Source organism: Homo sapiens, chromosome 1 (genome assembly GCF_000001405.40).
Source record: "Homo sapiens chromosome 1, GRCh38.p14 Primary Assembly".
Taxonomy (NCBI): Eukaryota; Metazoa; Chordata; class Mammalia; order Primates; family Hominidae; genus Homo; species Homo sapiens.
Window position 1 is genome coordinate 40944216 of NC_000001.11, and position 16812 is coordinate 40961027.

The 16812-nt window shown below is 45.4% G+C and overlaps 1 annotated feature.

Annotated features, from left to right (window-relative positions):
• Positions 616 to 1115: an enhancer, noted in NCBI's record as "H3K4me1 hESC enhancer chr1:41410503-41411002 (GRCh37/hg19 assembly coordinates)". NCBI's record gives its function as "activates a minimal SCP1, AML or CMV promoter by ChIP-STARR-seq in primed H9 embryonic stem cells {active_cell/tissue: H9 hESC(primed)}" and the evidence as "EXISTENCE:reporter gene assay evidence [ECO:0000049][PMID:30033119]".

Consider the following 16812-nt stretch of genomic DNA (forward strand, 5'->3'; position numbering starts at 1 on the left):
TCTGTTTATTGGCCCATCCTCCCTTTCTTCGCTGTGATATGCCACTCCTGCCGCATATATATACCATATATATGTGGATCTGATTCTGGTCTCTCTACTCCTTCTCAGGGGTCAATGTGTCTGTCCCTATGTGGATACCGTACTGTCTTAATGGCTGTAGCTTCATCGTGGGTCCTGATTCCTGGCAGGGGTGATGAACCCTGCCCCACTCCACCCCCGCTACTCTGCCCAGTAACAGGGAGAAGCACCCTCTGCTGGCTCTGCTCCTTCCAAATAAGTGGCCTCAGGCATACTGTCTATTTCCCTTTTGAATCTTGGTATTCTTGTGCGTAAACCAGGGAGTAATGATTCTACCTCATAAGAATGTTCTGAGCATCCAATAAGACTGTACATAAATAAAGCTTCTGGCACAGCGCCTATTTGTTGGGCCTGAATGTTTGTGAAATGGGGTCCAGAGACGTTCAATGACGTGCTCAAGGTCACAGGACCAGACCCATAATATGCTGTCTTCTCACTGCTGAGCTTCAAAGACCATTTCCAGACAAGTTAGCCTTCTCAAGAGTCTTTCTTCCATTTTCTTCCCTTCCAGGAAAAAACAAAGGTAAGAAAGAAAGAAAGAAAGAAAGAAAGAAAGAAAGAAAGAAAGAAAGAAAGAAAGGAAGGAAGGAAGAAAGCAAGCAAAGCAAAGCAAAGCAAAGCAAAGCAAAGCAAAGCAAAGCAAAGCAAAGCAAAGAAAGAAAAGAATCCATTTCCAAAAGCTCACAGCATACCACAGTTCCCAATGACTGCATCTTTTTTGGCTTTTTCTTATCTAATGGGAACGGAATGAACTGGATCAGGGTTTCTCTAACAATGTTGGAGAGGAAGTCAGGTTTATTTAAAATTTAACTTCTTTTGGCTCTGTTACCACTGGCCTTGGCTGAGCCATGGCTCGAGGGCATCCGAAAGCAATGAGATCCGGGCATGGTTTCCAGGAGAGTCCCTGGGAGCAAGTTCAGTGTCCCTGAACTTGTCATCATGAAAATTGCAGTGGCCTTGAGGGTTAATCACTGAAGTTAGCATGTAAAGCTGGGTCTGCATCTGTGTTGTTCCCTCTGTCTCTCCTGATCCCACACAGCCAAGACACAGAGCAGGTGCGCAGTGTGGAATAAACAAAGGAAAGTGGGCGGAAAGATTTACAGTCACCTTGAGGAGACTGTTTGGCCTCATTGTAGAGACATTAACAGAGCCAAAGAAAGGGTGTGCAGCTTCTCAGGAGATTTGTTGCTATTATAGTGAGAAAGGTTTGGAAAAGATTATGAGCATGTTCAAAGTTACGATAATTAAAGCGTGTTAGCTCAGAAACTGAAGACAAAGAAGTAAAGTGGAATTGAATTCACAAATAGACCTAAACACATAAGAAAATCTGGTGTATGATAAGGGTGGCATTTCACATATGTAAGGGGAAACTACATGTTGATGAGCCATCTGGAAAAAAACCAAACTGAATCTCTAACTTACTGCATGCACTGAAATAAATTCCAGATGGATTAAGTATGCATTGGTAAAAAACAAAACCATAAACATGCTAGAAGAAAATATCAGAGAATGTTTTCCTAATCATGGAGTGGAGAAAATCTTTCTAAAATATGACACAAATCCCAGAAGTTATCAAGGAAAAGATGGACAGATCTTACTACATAAATATTTTTAAACTTCTGTAGGGGGAAAAAACATATGCAAGGCAAATGACAAACACTAAATTATAAAAAATACTGATTTGCTTTCCACATGGCAGATGAGAGCTAATAACCTGATATGCAAAGACCTCCTACAAATCAACTTAAAAAAAAAAAGTACAGGCTGGGTGCAGTTGCTGACGCTTGTAATCCCAGCACTTTGGGAGGCCAAGGTGGGCAGATCACAAGGTCAGGAGTTTGAGACCAGCCTGGCCAACATGGTGAAACCCCATCTCTACTGAAGTTACAAAAAATGAGCCCAGTGTAGTGGCACACACCTGTGACCCCAGCTACTTGGATGGGTGAGGCAGGAGAATCACTTGAACCTGGGAGGTGGAGGTTGCAGTGAGCCGAGATCACGCCATTGTACTATAGCCTGGGCAACAGGGTGAGACTCTGCCTCAAAAAAAAGAAAATTAATTAATTATTTTAAAATATTTAAAAAGTACAAAGGAAGGAAGAAAACCATGAGTAAGAAAAATATAATCAGGCGTGGTGGCTCACACCTGTAATCCCAACACTTACAGAGGCCTAGGCGGGTGGTTCAGTTGAGGTCAGTAGTTTAAGACCAGCCTAGGTAACATGGTAAAACCCTGTCTCTACCAAAAATACAAAAATTAGCCAGGCATGGTGGTGGGTGCCTGTAGTCCCAGCTACTTGGGAGGCTGAGGCAGGGGAATCACTTGACCCTGGGAGGAGGAAGTTGCAGTAAGCCAAGATCACACCACTGCACTCCAGCCTGGACAACAGAGTGAGACTCTGTCTCAAAAAAAGAAAAGAAAAGAAAAATAGACAAACGACATGGGAAAATACACTTTATAGAAGATGACATTCAAATGGCCAATCAACTCAGGAAGAGATGTTTGACTCCACAGAAATCCAAATGAAAACAACAATGGGATAATATATTTCATGTATCAGACTGCAAAAATTAAAAGGCACCCAGTGTTGGGGAGCGTGTCAGTTGGTATCTCATCACTCCTGGGGCAAATGCAAATTGCAATATTATTTTTGGAAAGAAATTCATCTATTTCATCAGAACTTTATATTTATGTGCCCTTTGATCAAATCCATTCCACCTTTGAGAATTTATTTTATTGAAATAATGGCAAAAGTGAGCAAAGAGAAATATATAGTGGTTCTTTGCAGCATTGTTTATAATAACAAAAGACAGGAATTGCATGAGTATCACCAGAGAATTGGGTACCTCATGGTGTGTCCATACTATACAGCTGATAAAAAGAATGAGGGAGATCCATCTACACCTGCCAACATGGAAATTAGTTCTCCGTTTGGAAGACAAAGCAATTTGAATAACAGGTATATTGTATATCTATAAGATATATTATTATATAGATAACATGTTATAACAGGTATTTTTATATGTTTAATATTATATATAGATATATATATATATATACTTTTTTTTTGAGACAGAGTCTTGCTCTAACCTTCAGGGTGGAGTGTAGGGGTGCGATCTCAGCTCACTGCAACCTCCATCTCCTGGGTTCAAGCAATTCTCATGCCTCAGGCTCCCAAGTAGCTGGGATTACAGGCGCGTGTCATCACACCCAGCTAATATTTTGTAATTTTAGTAGAGACAGGGTTTGACGGAGTTTCACCATGTTGGCTAGGCTGGTCTCAAACTCCTGACCTCAGGTGATCCACCCTCCTCAGCCTCCCAAAGTGCTGGGATTACAGGTGTGAGCCACCACGACCGGCCTAATATTTTATTATATTTTTATTTATATTTTGAAAATGATCTCTTGGCCAGGCGCAATGGCTCATGCCTGTAATCCCAGCACTTTGGGAGGCCAAGGTGGGTGGATTACCTGAGGTCACGAGTTCTAAGACCAGCCTGGCCAACATGGCAAAACCCCGTCTCTATTAAAAATACAAAAATTAGCTGCGCATGGTGGCACGTGCCTGTAATCCCAGCTAGTCGGGAGGCTGAGGCATGAGAATGGCTTGAACCAGGGAGACGGAGGTTGCAGTGAGCCGAGATCACGTCATTGGAGTCCAGCCTGGGAGACAAGAGTGAAACTCCGTCTCAAAAAATAAAAAAATAAAAAAGAAAGACAATAATCTCTCTAGCTCTTTCCACATATATTTGATTATAAAAACACATACACATATGTAGCTATATGATTATAATATCTATTATGTATACCTGGAAATTAACATACTAAAGTGTTAACAGTGAGACAGATTGAAGGCAAAGATTGAAATTCATTTTATTTCTCTATCACTGAAATTTTTTTCATTGAGCACATTACTACTTTTGTAACAATGTTAAAAATCATCTTTATTAAAAATTATTTTAAGGTCAAGGCAGATGGATCACTTGAGGTCAGGAGTTTGAGACCAGTCTGGCCAACATGGTGAAACCCCATTTCTACTAAAAATACAAAAATTAGCTAGGCATGGTTGCGCACACCTGTAATCCCAGCTACTCGGGAGGCTGAAGCAGAATTGCTTGAACCCGGGAGGCAGAAGTTGCAGTGGACCGAGCTCCCACCACTGCACTCCAGCCTGGGCAGTAGAGCAAGTCTTCGTGTCAAAAAAAAAAAAAAAATTATTTTAACTGATGTTATGGTTACTAAAAGTCGGCCTGGAAGGACAGATGACTCCCAGACTGCTAACAAATAGGGTTTTCTCCCGGACAGCGTTTCCCTCCCCCGGCTATTAGAGGTTTCCCACCAAGACTCCTGGCTTCCTTTTCAGAGCCAAGAGAGCCAAAGGGGCCCTTGTGTTGCCCAGGGCTCACTGGGGCATAGTAAACATGCCCTAAATACAGTGCAGTCCCACCCTTAACAGTAAAGCTACCCTATCCAGCAGCCCTTTCGCAGAGTGCGGGAATAGCAGCCTCCCCTTCCCACCCCATACTGTGAGCTTCCCTAGGGCAGACACCAGGGCTAACTGTTGTCTGTATTCCTAGCAGCCAGCACAGATAATATTACTCGAACTAATTTATTAACACAAACACAGACTAACACAACTCGCCCACCAGGCAGATGGCGAAGCCTGGCTATAAAACTGGCACAAGGAAGAGAGAAAATTGATTAGCAATGAGTCATGAATGGCAGGAAAGCATGAAGGAGAAAAGGCAGATACACGAAGTCTGTCTACCAGCTGGTCCTTTTTTAAAAAGGGAGGAGGCAGACAGTGCCCCCTACAGGGCTAATGGAAATGGCATCTGCCCTTTTTAGGAAGAAGGGCAGAGGTAGGTAGGGTTGGAGGGGTGGGGAGGTGGGTGCGGGCTATGCTGTATTCTATCCTGCAATGCCAGTGAGTGAGACTGTAGATCATGTTGCCACTAATGACATCTGGTGGAAACGGCATTTGTGGTGGAGATAACTTAATAACATAGCATGTGCGGCACTGTGCTACAGCCCACAAGAAATGGAAAGAATGGCAAGAAGTACTTGTTTGTCCCTGTGTCCCCAGCACCAGGGGCCTGGCACAGAGCAGGGGCTCACTAGAAGCTTGAGAAGGAAGGAAGCCAGGGAGTGAGGTAAGGAGGGAGGGCAAAGGGAGGAGATAGGGAAAATGACGCAAGGACCAAGGAGCTCTTTCCTTTAATTTATTTTATTTTATTTTTTCTTTTCTTTTCTTTTCTTTTCTTTTTTTTTTTTGAGACAGGGTATTGCTCTGTCACCTAGGCTGGAGTGTACCAGTGCAATCACGGCTCATAGCAGCCTCTACCTCCTGGGTTCAAGCTATCCTCCTGCCCCAGCCTCCCAAGTAGCTAGAACTACAGGTGTGTGCTGCCACACCCAGCTAATTTTTAAAAAATATTTTGTAGAACCATGGAATACTATGCAGCCATAAAAAAGAATGAGATCAGCTGGGCATGGTGGCTCATGTCTGCACTTACTCCCAGCACTTTGGGAGGCCGAGGCAGGCGAATCATGAGATCAGGAGTTCAAGACCAGCCTACCCAATATGGTGAAACCCCGTCACTACTAAAAATACAAACAATTAGCTGGGCGTAGTGGTGGGCACCTGTAATCCCAGCTACTCGGGAGGCTGAGGCAGGAGAATCACTTGAACCTGGGAGGCAGAGGTTGCAGTGAGCTGAGATCGCGCCACTGCACTCCAGCCTGGGCGACAAAGTGAGACTGCATCTCAAAAAAAAAAAAAAAAAAAAAGAGAGATCATGTCCTTTGCAGGGACATGGATGGAGCTCAAAGCCATTATCCTCAGCAAACTAATGCAGAAACAGCAAACCAAATACTGCATGTTCTCACTTACAAGTGGGAACTGCATTATGTTAACACATGGACACATATGGGGGGGCAACAACACACACTAGGACCTGTCGGAGGGTGGGAGGTGGGAGAAGGGAGAGCATCAGGAAGAAAAGCTAATGGATGCTGGACTTAATACCTGAGTGATGGGATGATCTGTGCAGGAAACCACCATGGCACACGTTTACCTATGTAACAAACCTGCACATGCTGCACCTGTATCCCTGAACTTAAAATAAATGTTGGAAATTTAAAAAAAAAAGAAAAGAAAAGAAAAAAATCTTTTGTAGAAACAGGGTCTCACTATGTTGCTCAGGCTGGTCTTCAACTCCTGAGCTCAAGCAATCCTCTCGTCTTGGTCTCCCAAAGTGCTGGAATTACAGGCGTGAGCCACTGTGCCTGGCTGAGGAAGGTCTTTTCTAGTTTTATGACATGAGGGGATCCTTTGAGGGGGTTCCTGGAAGGCTGCCTCGACTTCACTGCCCCTCCTTGGGCTTCCACGTTCTTATCTGTATATTGAGTATGGCAGGGGGAGAGATAAAAGGCTGGACTAGCTTAGTGATTCTCACCCGGAGTCCCAGAACCCTAGGGAACTCTCAAGATAGAATGGGTACCATGAGCTATATTAGGACTTCTAAATGCATAACAAGAATGCGTAAGCATTTGCTCAGGATGAAACTGTATGTGCTGATGGGCCAGGTATCTTTCTTTCAGGCTGGAACTCCATCACTCCCAAGGAACAGGGAAACGTTTGAATCAAGTCCACTCTACAGGAAGATAGGCCAGGGTTAGACCACAGTCAGTGATGTGCCTTTGAGCAAGTGACTGAGTCTCTTTTGGGTGTCAGTTTCCTCCTAAGTAAAATGGGAGTGATAAGACCCCACTCAGAGGTTTCTAGTGGCGATTGAATGAGCTAGCACATGTAAAGCACTTGGCACGTAGGCTGGCCCAGAGTCAGCCCTCTGCAAATGGTAGTTGCTATAATGATTAATGCAGAATAGGGAGTCTGAACATCTCATGCTAATCAAAAACTCTGATAGGAGCTATATATATATAGATAGATAGATTCATAATAGTAGGAAATAAATGAAGATTAATTATTTAAGGCAGCTTGTTTGGAAGACGATGTCTTTTTTCAAATAGGGATGGAGTCTCCCTTTGTTGCCCAGGCTGCAGCCTCGACCTCCTGAGCTCAAGCAATCCTCCCACCTCACCTGAGTATCTGGAGTACAGGTGCAAGCCACCACGCCCAGCTAATTTTTTTTTTAATTTTTGTTTTTTATAGAGACAGGGTCTCACTAGATTGCCCAGGATAACAACGTCTTTTAAAACATGAAACCTCTTGGATAGGAGAGTATTTAAGGTCAACTAAAAACAATAAAAAAAAAATTTAAAGAGAAGAAAACATGAGACCATACTTAGAAGTCACAAGAGCGAACTTCGTGGGACAAAGGCTGAGCCCTTGTGTCAGGTCCCTTCGAGCTGGAGTTCAATAAGAGACTAAGCTCTCCTACTTCTGGGTCTTGGCACAGTTCTCTCTTTTTGAACTGACTGATTAACTGATTGAGACAGGATCTCACTCTGTTAGCCCAGGTTGGAGTGCAGTGGCGAGAATATGATTCACTGTAGCCTCAACTTCCTGAGCTCAAGCAATCCTCCCAACTTAGCCTCCAGAGTAGCTGGGACCACAGGCGCCAGCCACCATGCCAGGCTAATTAAAAAAAAAATTTGTTTTTTAAGAGTCAGGGACTTGCCATGTTGCCCAGTCTGGTCTCAAACTTCTGGGTTCAAGCCATCCTCCCACCTTGGCCTTCCAAAGTGCTGGGATTACAGGTGTGAGCCACTGCACCCAGCCTGTTCTGTCTTTTTGGAATGACTTTCTCTCCCTTTTTTATCTAGTTGACTCCTAGACACTGCCTCCAGGAAGCCTTCTATGCTTGGCCCTTGGCTCCCTTGAGTCAGTGCCTTTCCGCAGCTTGCTGGATCAGTCCTTTGAAGGAACTTGCTATAGTGTGCAGTGTTTTCTTAGACCAGCAACTCTCACCCTTGACACCATCAGAATCACCAGAGGGGCTTGTTAGAACAGAGATTGCTGGCCACGGGCCCCAGAGTGTCTGATTCAGCAGGTCTGCAGTGGGTCCCGAGAATCTGTGCGTCTGCTCATTCACAGGAGATGCCAGGCCTCCTGACCCGGGGAACACACTTTGAGAACCGCTGGCTTAGACCACATGGTCTAGGACAGCAGGGATCTTGCCTATTTGTTCCCCCACTGCACCTCCAGCAGCACCTCACAGTCTCAGCCATTACATGGAAAGACAAAGTCAAATAACAAGACGTAATGTAGAAGATTTCCCAAGGCCTGTGTGCTGAGCACACAGGTCGGGCCCCGGCTGGAGGTGCGAACTGTCTCCGAGAGCGCCAGGTGAGTGCCCAGCGGGAGCAGAACGGGAATGGCAGGAGGCCCGTGCTCTGGGTCAGAGCGCCCTCTGGTGCCAACATCTCAGCTCTGCACCTGGAGCTGAAATTAGGTGACATCAAGGCAGACCCCAACCGACCTCCCAGCCCCTGGTTTTCCCCTCTCAGCCTCGTCCATGTCACCACCAGGAGTAACTTGCTAAAATCCAGCTCTGACCCTACTCGCCTTTGCCCTTCTCCCAGCTTAAGCCCCGCACTTGGCTCTCCACTGCCTTCTGGACAAACCTCAGCATTCAAGGTCCTTGGCTGTCCTCTGGTGACTCTGTTGCTTTCTGTCCTTCAGTATCCTGTGGCTCTCCTCAGGCACTCTTTAATTTGTCCACACCAGGCAGGTCATGGACTTTATGCCTTCTTACAAGCTATTCCTAACAGGACTGCAACCCCACCTTCTCCTCCAGAGAAACTGATCCTTTTTAATGTCAAATGTGGCCTCTTCTGTGAAGCCTTCCTGGATTCTCCCAGGCAGAAGCGATTGTTTCTTCCATTGTGTCTGTATAGCCTAGTGCACAGGCCACTGCGGAGTGGGGTCTGGGTCCTCCTTGAGACCATGAGCTCCTTCGGGCTCCTGACTCAGCTTTGGTGTATCAATAAATGCTGGAATCTACAAAGCTGTTTTCCCTCTTCAAAGCTAAAACCCACTGTCTACTACCTAAGTCTGCATAGATCCTTAGATATTCAATCATTTATTCAACCAGCAAATATACTTGAGGCCTTTCTTCTTCTTCTTCTTTTTTTTTTTTGAGACGGAGTCTCGCTCTGTCGCCCAGGCTGGAGTGCAATGGCGCTATCTCGGCTCACTGCAAGCTCCGCCTCCTGGGTTCATGCCATTCTCCTGCCTCAGCCTCCCCAGCAGCTGGGACTACAGGCACCCACCACCACGCCCGGCTAATTTTTTTTTTTTTTTTGTATTTTTAGTAGAGACGGGGTTTCACCGTGTTAGCCAGGATGGTCTCGATCTCCTGACCTCGTGATCCACCTGCCTCGGCCTCCCAAAGTGCTGGGATTACAGGCGTGAGCCACCGCGCCCAGCCTCTTCTTTTTTTTTTTTTTTTTGATGGAGTTTCAAGCCCAGGCTGGAGTGCAATTGCATGATCTCAGCTCACTGCAACCTCTGCCTCCAGGGTTCAAGCGATTCTCCTGCCTCAGCCTCCCGAGTAGCTGGGATTACAGGCATGTGCCACCATGCCTGGCTAATTTTGTATTTTTAATAGAGACGGGGTTTCTCTATGTTGGTCAGGCTGGTCTCGAACTCCTGACCTCAGGTGATCCGTCTACCTCGGCCTCCCAAAGTGCTGGGATTATACGCATGAGCCACCACACCCGGACAAGGCCTTTCTTCTGGCAGGCATTAATCAATTCCAGTGCAGGGGATACAGAGGAGAATAAAACAAGACGAAGTTCCTGGCCTCTGAGCTTATATTATGGTAGGAGAGAATGACAATAAACAAAATACTGTGTATTAAATACTGTTAAGCCAAGCTGTGCTAAATTGCATAGAGAAATTAAGCAGGGTAAAGGATAGAAGTTGATGGAGTGGTTCTATTTCAGGCAGTGTGGTTAAGAAAATACTCACTGATGGCCGGGCGCAGTGGCTCACACCTGTTATCCCAGCACTCTGGGAGGCCGACGCGGGTGGATCATGAGGTCAAGAGTTCGAGACCAGCCTGGGCAACATGGTGAAACCCTTTCTCTACTAAAAATACACAAATAAGCTGGGCATGGTGGCACACACCTGTAATCCCAGCTACTCAGGAGGCTGAGGCAGGAGAATCACATGAATCCCGGAGGTGGAGGTTGCAGTGAACCAAGATAGGGTCACTGCAATCTAGCCTGGGCGACAAATCGAGACTCGTCTAAAAAAAAAAAGGAAAAAAGAAAATACTCACTGATAAGGTGGCATTTGAGCAAAGACACAAACAAAGTGCAGATGTGAACCGTGCATGTGTCTGGGGGGAGGTATTCCTGCAGCGTGCAAAGTCCCTGTGATAGGAACGTGCTTAGCATGCTCTAGAAACTGCAAGTTGGCTGGTGTTTTAGGTCAGGCGATCTGGAAGCAGACTCTGAGAGGATTCCTGTATAAGTGATTGATTAGTGCTCCCTTAGGGGTAGGGTGGGGAATAACCAGCAAGGGTGTAGGGGAAGCAGGGCAGGGAAGAGGAGGAAGCCAAGCAAGCGTGTGATTTCATGCGAAATCCGGAGGAAGGTAGTCTCACCCTGATCCCACGGGGGTGGGGCGGGGTGGGGTAAGGTAGAGTCGGGTAGGAAGGGGAGCTCTGGCATATAAGTTACACCTCAGTGTTTGTTCCAACCTAAGGCAAGGTTGCTGAGACTTTCAAACTCTCCTCCCATTAACATCTGGCTAGGGTCATCCCAGGGAGCTTTTTCAAGTAAATTCTCAGGCACTTCCTCTGGGCAAAGTGGGCTCCAGTAGCGCCCTATCCAAAGAGCCATAGGTACTAGGTACTAGGTGTTGGGTACTAAGTACTAAATGTTAAGAGAAAAAGCTTAGCAAAGTTGGGGGCACACACAACATGAAGGAAAAGGGGATCTTAAAAGGATCTGGGTAAAATGCTAACAGTACCTGTGAAAGTCAGTGAGGTAGAAGAACAGAAGTCAGAGTAGAATCGTAAGAGAAGAGATAGTCAGCTGAGGCCAGATCAGGTAAATCAATATCTGATTTCACTCAAATAGGCAATGTGCTGAGCTAAAAAATCCACAGCTCTCCTTGCATCTAGGGGCGGCCAGTTCCACATACTCAAATGTCGATAAAAGTCAGCTGGAGGCACCTAAGAAAGCATTCATTTCCTGATAGAGGCACCACATTTTCTTCCTTGCCACTCCCTTCTTTTTGCCTGGAATGTGAACCCGAGGCTGGGGGTAAAGCAGTCATCTTGTAACCATGAGGTCACAGTGAGGCAAATGTGAGAGTAAAAGCTTTGTACTAAGCATGGTGGAGGGGCCTGAGACCCTGGTGATGTTGCAGAGAGGCTGCACTAGCCTGGGACGCCTGTCTCTAGACTTAATATCTTTTTTTGAAAGTTAACAAATCCCTATTCGATGAAGTCTGGCTTTCTGTTACATGCCAGTGGGCATCATCCCTAACCAATACTTCCTCCAAAGAGTTATAGATCTACACAGCCTCCTACATTCTGTGAGAGCACTTGTTCCCACTCAAATGCGCTGGACGTTATAAAGCTTTTTCCAGTTTGCCAATCTTCCACGTGACAAATCCTATCTTGTTTTCTTTCGGTTTTTGTTGTTTTGAGACGGCGTCTCACTCTGTTGCCCCGGCTGGAGTGCAATGGCGCGATCTCGGCTCACTGCAACCTCCGCCTCCCGGGTTCAAGCCATTCTCCTGCCTCAGCCTCTCAAATAGCTGGGATTACAGGCGCGCGCCACCACGCCCGGCTAATTGTTGTATTTTCAGTAGAGACGGGGTTTCACCATGTTGGTCAGGCTGGTCTCAAACTCCTGACCTCAGGTGTCACCACCCGCCTCGGCCTCCCAAAGTGCTGGGATTACAGGCATAAGCCACCACACCCGGCCTATCTTGTTTTATTGTGAATATGAGTTATGAGTGAGGTTGAGTATTTTTATATGTTTTTTGTGCATTTGTGTTTACGTGAAACTACATGTTTCTGTGCCTTGCCCACTTCCATTTGAAGGCCAAAAAAAAAAAAAAAAAAAAATCACAGCGGGCACTGGCATCTTAAGGGTTCTGAGAATTCCTGCAGCATGCAATGTGCATTTTAACTTTAGCATGGAATTCTCCAAAATTATTTGACCACATAACATATTTTGTCTTGGAAACCCTATTTCTATTAGTTAGGACTGAGCTTTCTAACTGGCATGCCATAAATGAGCCACAAGCATGTTGACCTATTCAACTACTCAAAATTTGACAAGAGCCAAAACATATTTGAACACTGTTAGATAGCTTCCTCTATGAACTTCCTGAATTAGGTAATAATTATTTTGGTGGTTAAGATTTTATTCAAAGCACTTGCCGCCAGAAAGACTTTGTCATGGCCACATTGTCCCACACTCCACAGAATAGTCTGACTATGATCCTAGTCATGATTTGTTTATCTGTTTATCAGCTGCAACTGATAAATTCTTCTTTATTTTGCAAGTACATATAAAATATTGGCTTTTCTTTAACTTAATAATTTTCTCTTATTTTTCTAACATAAAAGTATGGATATTATTATTTAATGTTATGTGTTTCCCTATAGAAAATGAGTTATTTTGGGCAGGGCATGGTGGTGCACGCCTGTAATCCCAGCACTTTGGGAGGCCGAGGCAGGCAAATCACGAGGTCAGGTGTTTGAGACCAGCCTGCCCAACACGGTGAAACCACATCTCTACTAAAAATACAAATATTAGCAGGGCATGGTAGCACACACATGTAGTCCCAGCTACTTAGGAGGCTGAGGCAGGAAAATTGCTTGAACCCAGGAGGTGGAGGTTGCAGTGAGCCAAGATCACACCACTGCACTCCAGCCTGGGCAACAGAGCAAGACTCTGTCTCAAAAAAAAAAAAAGAAAGAAAGAAAAGAAAATGAGTTATGTTGTTAATTTTCTCAATTGCTGTTTCTTGATTGGGGGAGTGTCTGTTCATTTTTAATGTTAACAATGAATACAGTTTGTTTTTTATTTTTTTATTTTTTTTGAGATGGAGTCTGGCTCTGTCACCCAGGCTGGAGTGCAGTGGCATGATCTCAGCTCACTGCAGCTTCCACCTCCCGGGTTCAAGTGATTCTCCTGCCACAGCCTCTCAAGTAGCTGGAATTACAGGCATGCACCACAATGCCCAGCTAATTTTTGTATTTTTAGTAGAGTCAGAGTTTGGCCATGTTGACCAGGCTGGTCTCGAACTTCTGACCTCAAGTGATCTGCCTGCCTCGGCCTCTCAAAGTGCTGGGATTACAGGTGTGAACCACCGCGCCTGGACGCCTACAGTTTGATTCTTGATGGAATTTCAGGATGAGTTATTGTTTGCTTTTAAAAATGAAAAAATGGGGCCGGGCGCGGTGGCTCACGCCTGTAATCCCAGCACTTTGGGAGGCCGAGGCGGGTGGATCACGAGGTCAGGAGGTCGAGACCATCCTGGCTAATACGGTGAAACCCCGTCTCTACTAAAAATACAAAAAAAAATTAGCCGGGCGTGGTAGCGGGCGCCTGTAGTCCCAGCTACTCGGGAGGTTGAGGCAGGAGAATGGCGTGAACCCGGGAGGCGGAGCTTGCAGTGAGCCAAGATAGCGCCACTGCAGTCCAGCCTGGGCAAAAGAGCGAGACTCCGTCTCAAAAAAAAAAAAAAAAGAAAAGAAAAAATGGTCTGGGTGTGGGGGCTCACGCCTGTAATCCCAGCACTTTGGGAGGCCGAGGTGGGCAGATCACTTGAGCCTAGGAGCTGGAGACTAGCCTGGGCAACATGATGAAACCCTGTCTCCACCAAAAAATACAAAAATTAGCCAGGTGTGGTGGTGCACACCTGTAGTCCCAGCTCCTCAGGAGGCTGAGGCGGGAAGATCATTTCAGCCTGGAAAGTGGGGGCTGCAGTGAGCTGTGATTGCACCACTGCACTCCAGCCTGGGCAATGGGAATGAGACCCTGTTTCAAAAAAAAAAAAAGGTTTCTAAAGTTAACATATACCTACTCTGACCCAATGTTTCCAGTTCTAACTATTCATTCAATAGCAACAGGTGCATATGCCCACAAAAAGACATGTGCAAGCATGTGTGTAGCAGCTTTATTCATTACAGCCCCAAACTAGAAACAGCCCAAATGTTCAACAGGTGAATGAATAAAGAAATTGTGGTATATCCATACAATGGAATACTATTTAACAATAAAAAGAAATAAACTTTAGCCATAAGCAACAACAAAGATGGATTTCTCCAACATGATACTGAGAGAAAAAAGCCAAAAAAAAAAGAGTATGTACTATATGATTCCATTGGTGCAAAGTCCTAGAACAGGCAAATCCAACCCACAGTGATAAAAGCCAGATTAGTGGTTATGAGTGAAGAAGTTAAGTCACCTTGCGGAAGGATTGAAATTGTCTCTATTTGAATCTGATACTTTTTTTTTTAGCCAAAAAAAAAAAAAAATCTATAACATAGAGATGTGGTCTTGCTATGTTGCCTAGGCTGGTTTCAAACTCCTGGCCTCAAGCAATCCTCCTGCCTCGGCCTCACAAAGTGTTGGGATTGCAGGTGTGAGCTGCTGCGCCTGGCCTAAATGAGCATTTTGAATAGACTAAGATCTGTGTCCACAATGGATGAGTCTGTGTTTGCAGCAGGTGGCTACCACAACAAGGTATCAAGGTTTCACAAGATCGTTCCAAAAAATCCTGAGATTCAAGCAATACATTTTTTTTCTTTTTGAGACGGAGTCTTGCTCTGTCGCCCAGGCTGGAGTGCAGTGGTGTCATCTCAGCTCACTGCAACCTCCACCTCCCAGGCTCAAGCAGTTCTCCTGCCTCAGCCTCCTGAGTAGCTTGGATTGCAGGCGCGCGCCACCACCCTGACTAATTTTTGTATTTTAGTAGATACCGGGTGTCAGGCCTCTGAGCCCAAGCTAAGCCATCATATCCCCTGTGACCTGCACGTATACATCCAGATGGCCTGAAGCAACTGAGGAACCACAAAAGATGACATTCCACCATTGTGATCTGTTCCTGCCCCACCCTAACTGATCGATTGACTTTATGACAACACATCCTCCTAATGCACTTTGTGATATTCCTCCGCCCTTAAGAAGGTACTTTGTAATATTCTCCCCGCCCTTGAGAATATACTTTGTGAGATCCACCCCCTGACCACAAAAAATTGCTCCTAACTCCACTGCCTATCCCAAACTTATAAGAACTAATGATAATCCCACCACTCTTTGCTGACTCTTTTTTCAGACTCAGTCTGCCTGCACCCAGGTGAAATAAACAGCCCTGTTGCTCACACAAAGCCTGTTGGTGGACTGTCTTCACACAGACGCGCGTGACACGGGTTTTCACCATGTTGGCCAGGCTGGTCTCAAACTCCTGACCTCAGATGATCTGCCCGCCTTGGCCTCCCAAAGTGCTGGTATTACAGGCGTGAGCCACTGCGCCCAGCCGCAATACATTCTTTTTTTAAAAAATTTAACCAGAAGCCCAAACCTCACCACACATTCTTTTATTCACAGACATGCTATTGAATATAAAGGTTTCCTTAAAGATCTGAAATCCACAATAGATGATGTGATCAAAAATGGTGAATTAAATCCAAGCCTCTCAGCCCTGTATGTTTTCAACCTTGTGTGAAGAAATAAGACGATAAAAATTATTCTCTGCTGTTTCATACAGAAATGGGATGATCCTCCAAAGGAACAGTTTTGTCTAGAGTGTATGAGTTTAAGAAATAATAATTTAAAAATAAGGAGTTATGAGCTTAAAAAATAATAAAAATAAAATCAAAAAATTGTGAGTCACTCTCACTTTGCAGTATTTTTTTGTTTGTTTTGAGACAGCGTCTTGCTCTGTTACCCTAGGCTGGGTGAAAGTAGTATGATCATGGCTTACTGTAGCCTTGACCTACCAGGCTGAATTGATCCTTCCACTTCAGCCTCTGGAGTAGCTGGCACTACAGGTGCATACCACCATGCCAGGCTAATTTTTACTTTTTGTAGAGATGAGAGCTCCCTATGTTGCCCCGGATGGTCTTGAACTCCCAGCTTCAAGTGATCCTCCCACCTTGGCCTCCCACAGTGCTGGGATTATAGGTGTGAGCCACCACACCCAACCTACTTTGCAACTTCTTTGAAAGATAGTAATTGGCTTCAAAATCTGACGTACTTAATTGACATTTTTGACGCTCTGAATGATCCTAATCAAAAGTTTAAAATCATATGAAAGTCTATTTGTGCAGAAAAGGTTAACTGTCTGGAGTTCCCAAACCTTACACATGCCAAAGGTCTTCAGGACCCATCCCTTGACCAGCTCCTGGAAGATCACCTGTGAGCCCTTGGAATATCCTGCCGGATAAGAGTGCTTTCTTATGCTGAGGCCTTGAACAACACTTATCAATTTGACCTCTGGGGGTTGGAAACTGAGGAGCTAAGATCGGCCCTGCAGGTTCTGCATCCCTGTGTGACTGACCCTTAATTAAAAACACAGTGGGGTGTGGTGGCTCACGCCTGTAATCCCAGCACTTTGGGAGGCGGGTGGCGGGGGGGGGGGTTAATCGCTTGAGGTCAGGGGTTCAAGACCAGCCTGACCAACATGATGAAACCCCATCTCTCCCAAAAATACAAAAAATTAGCCAGGTGTGGTGGCACACACCTGTAATCCCAGTTATTCAGGAGGCTGAGGCAGGAGAATCGCTTGAACC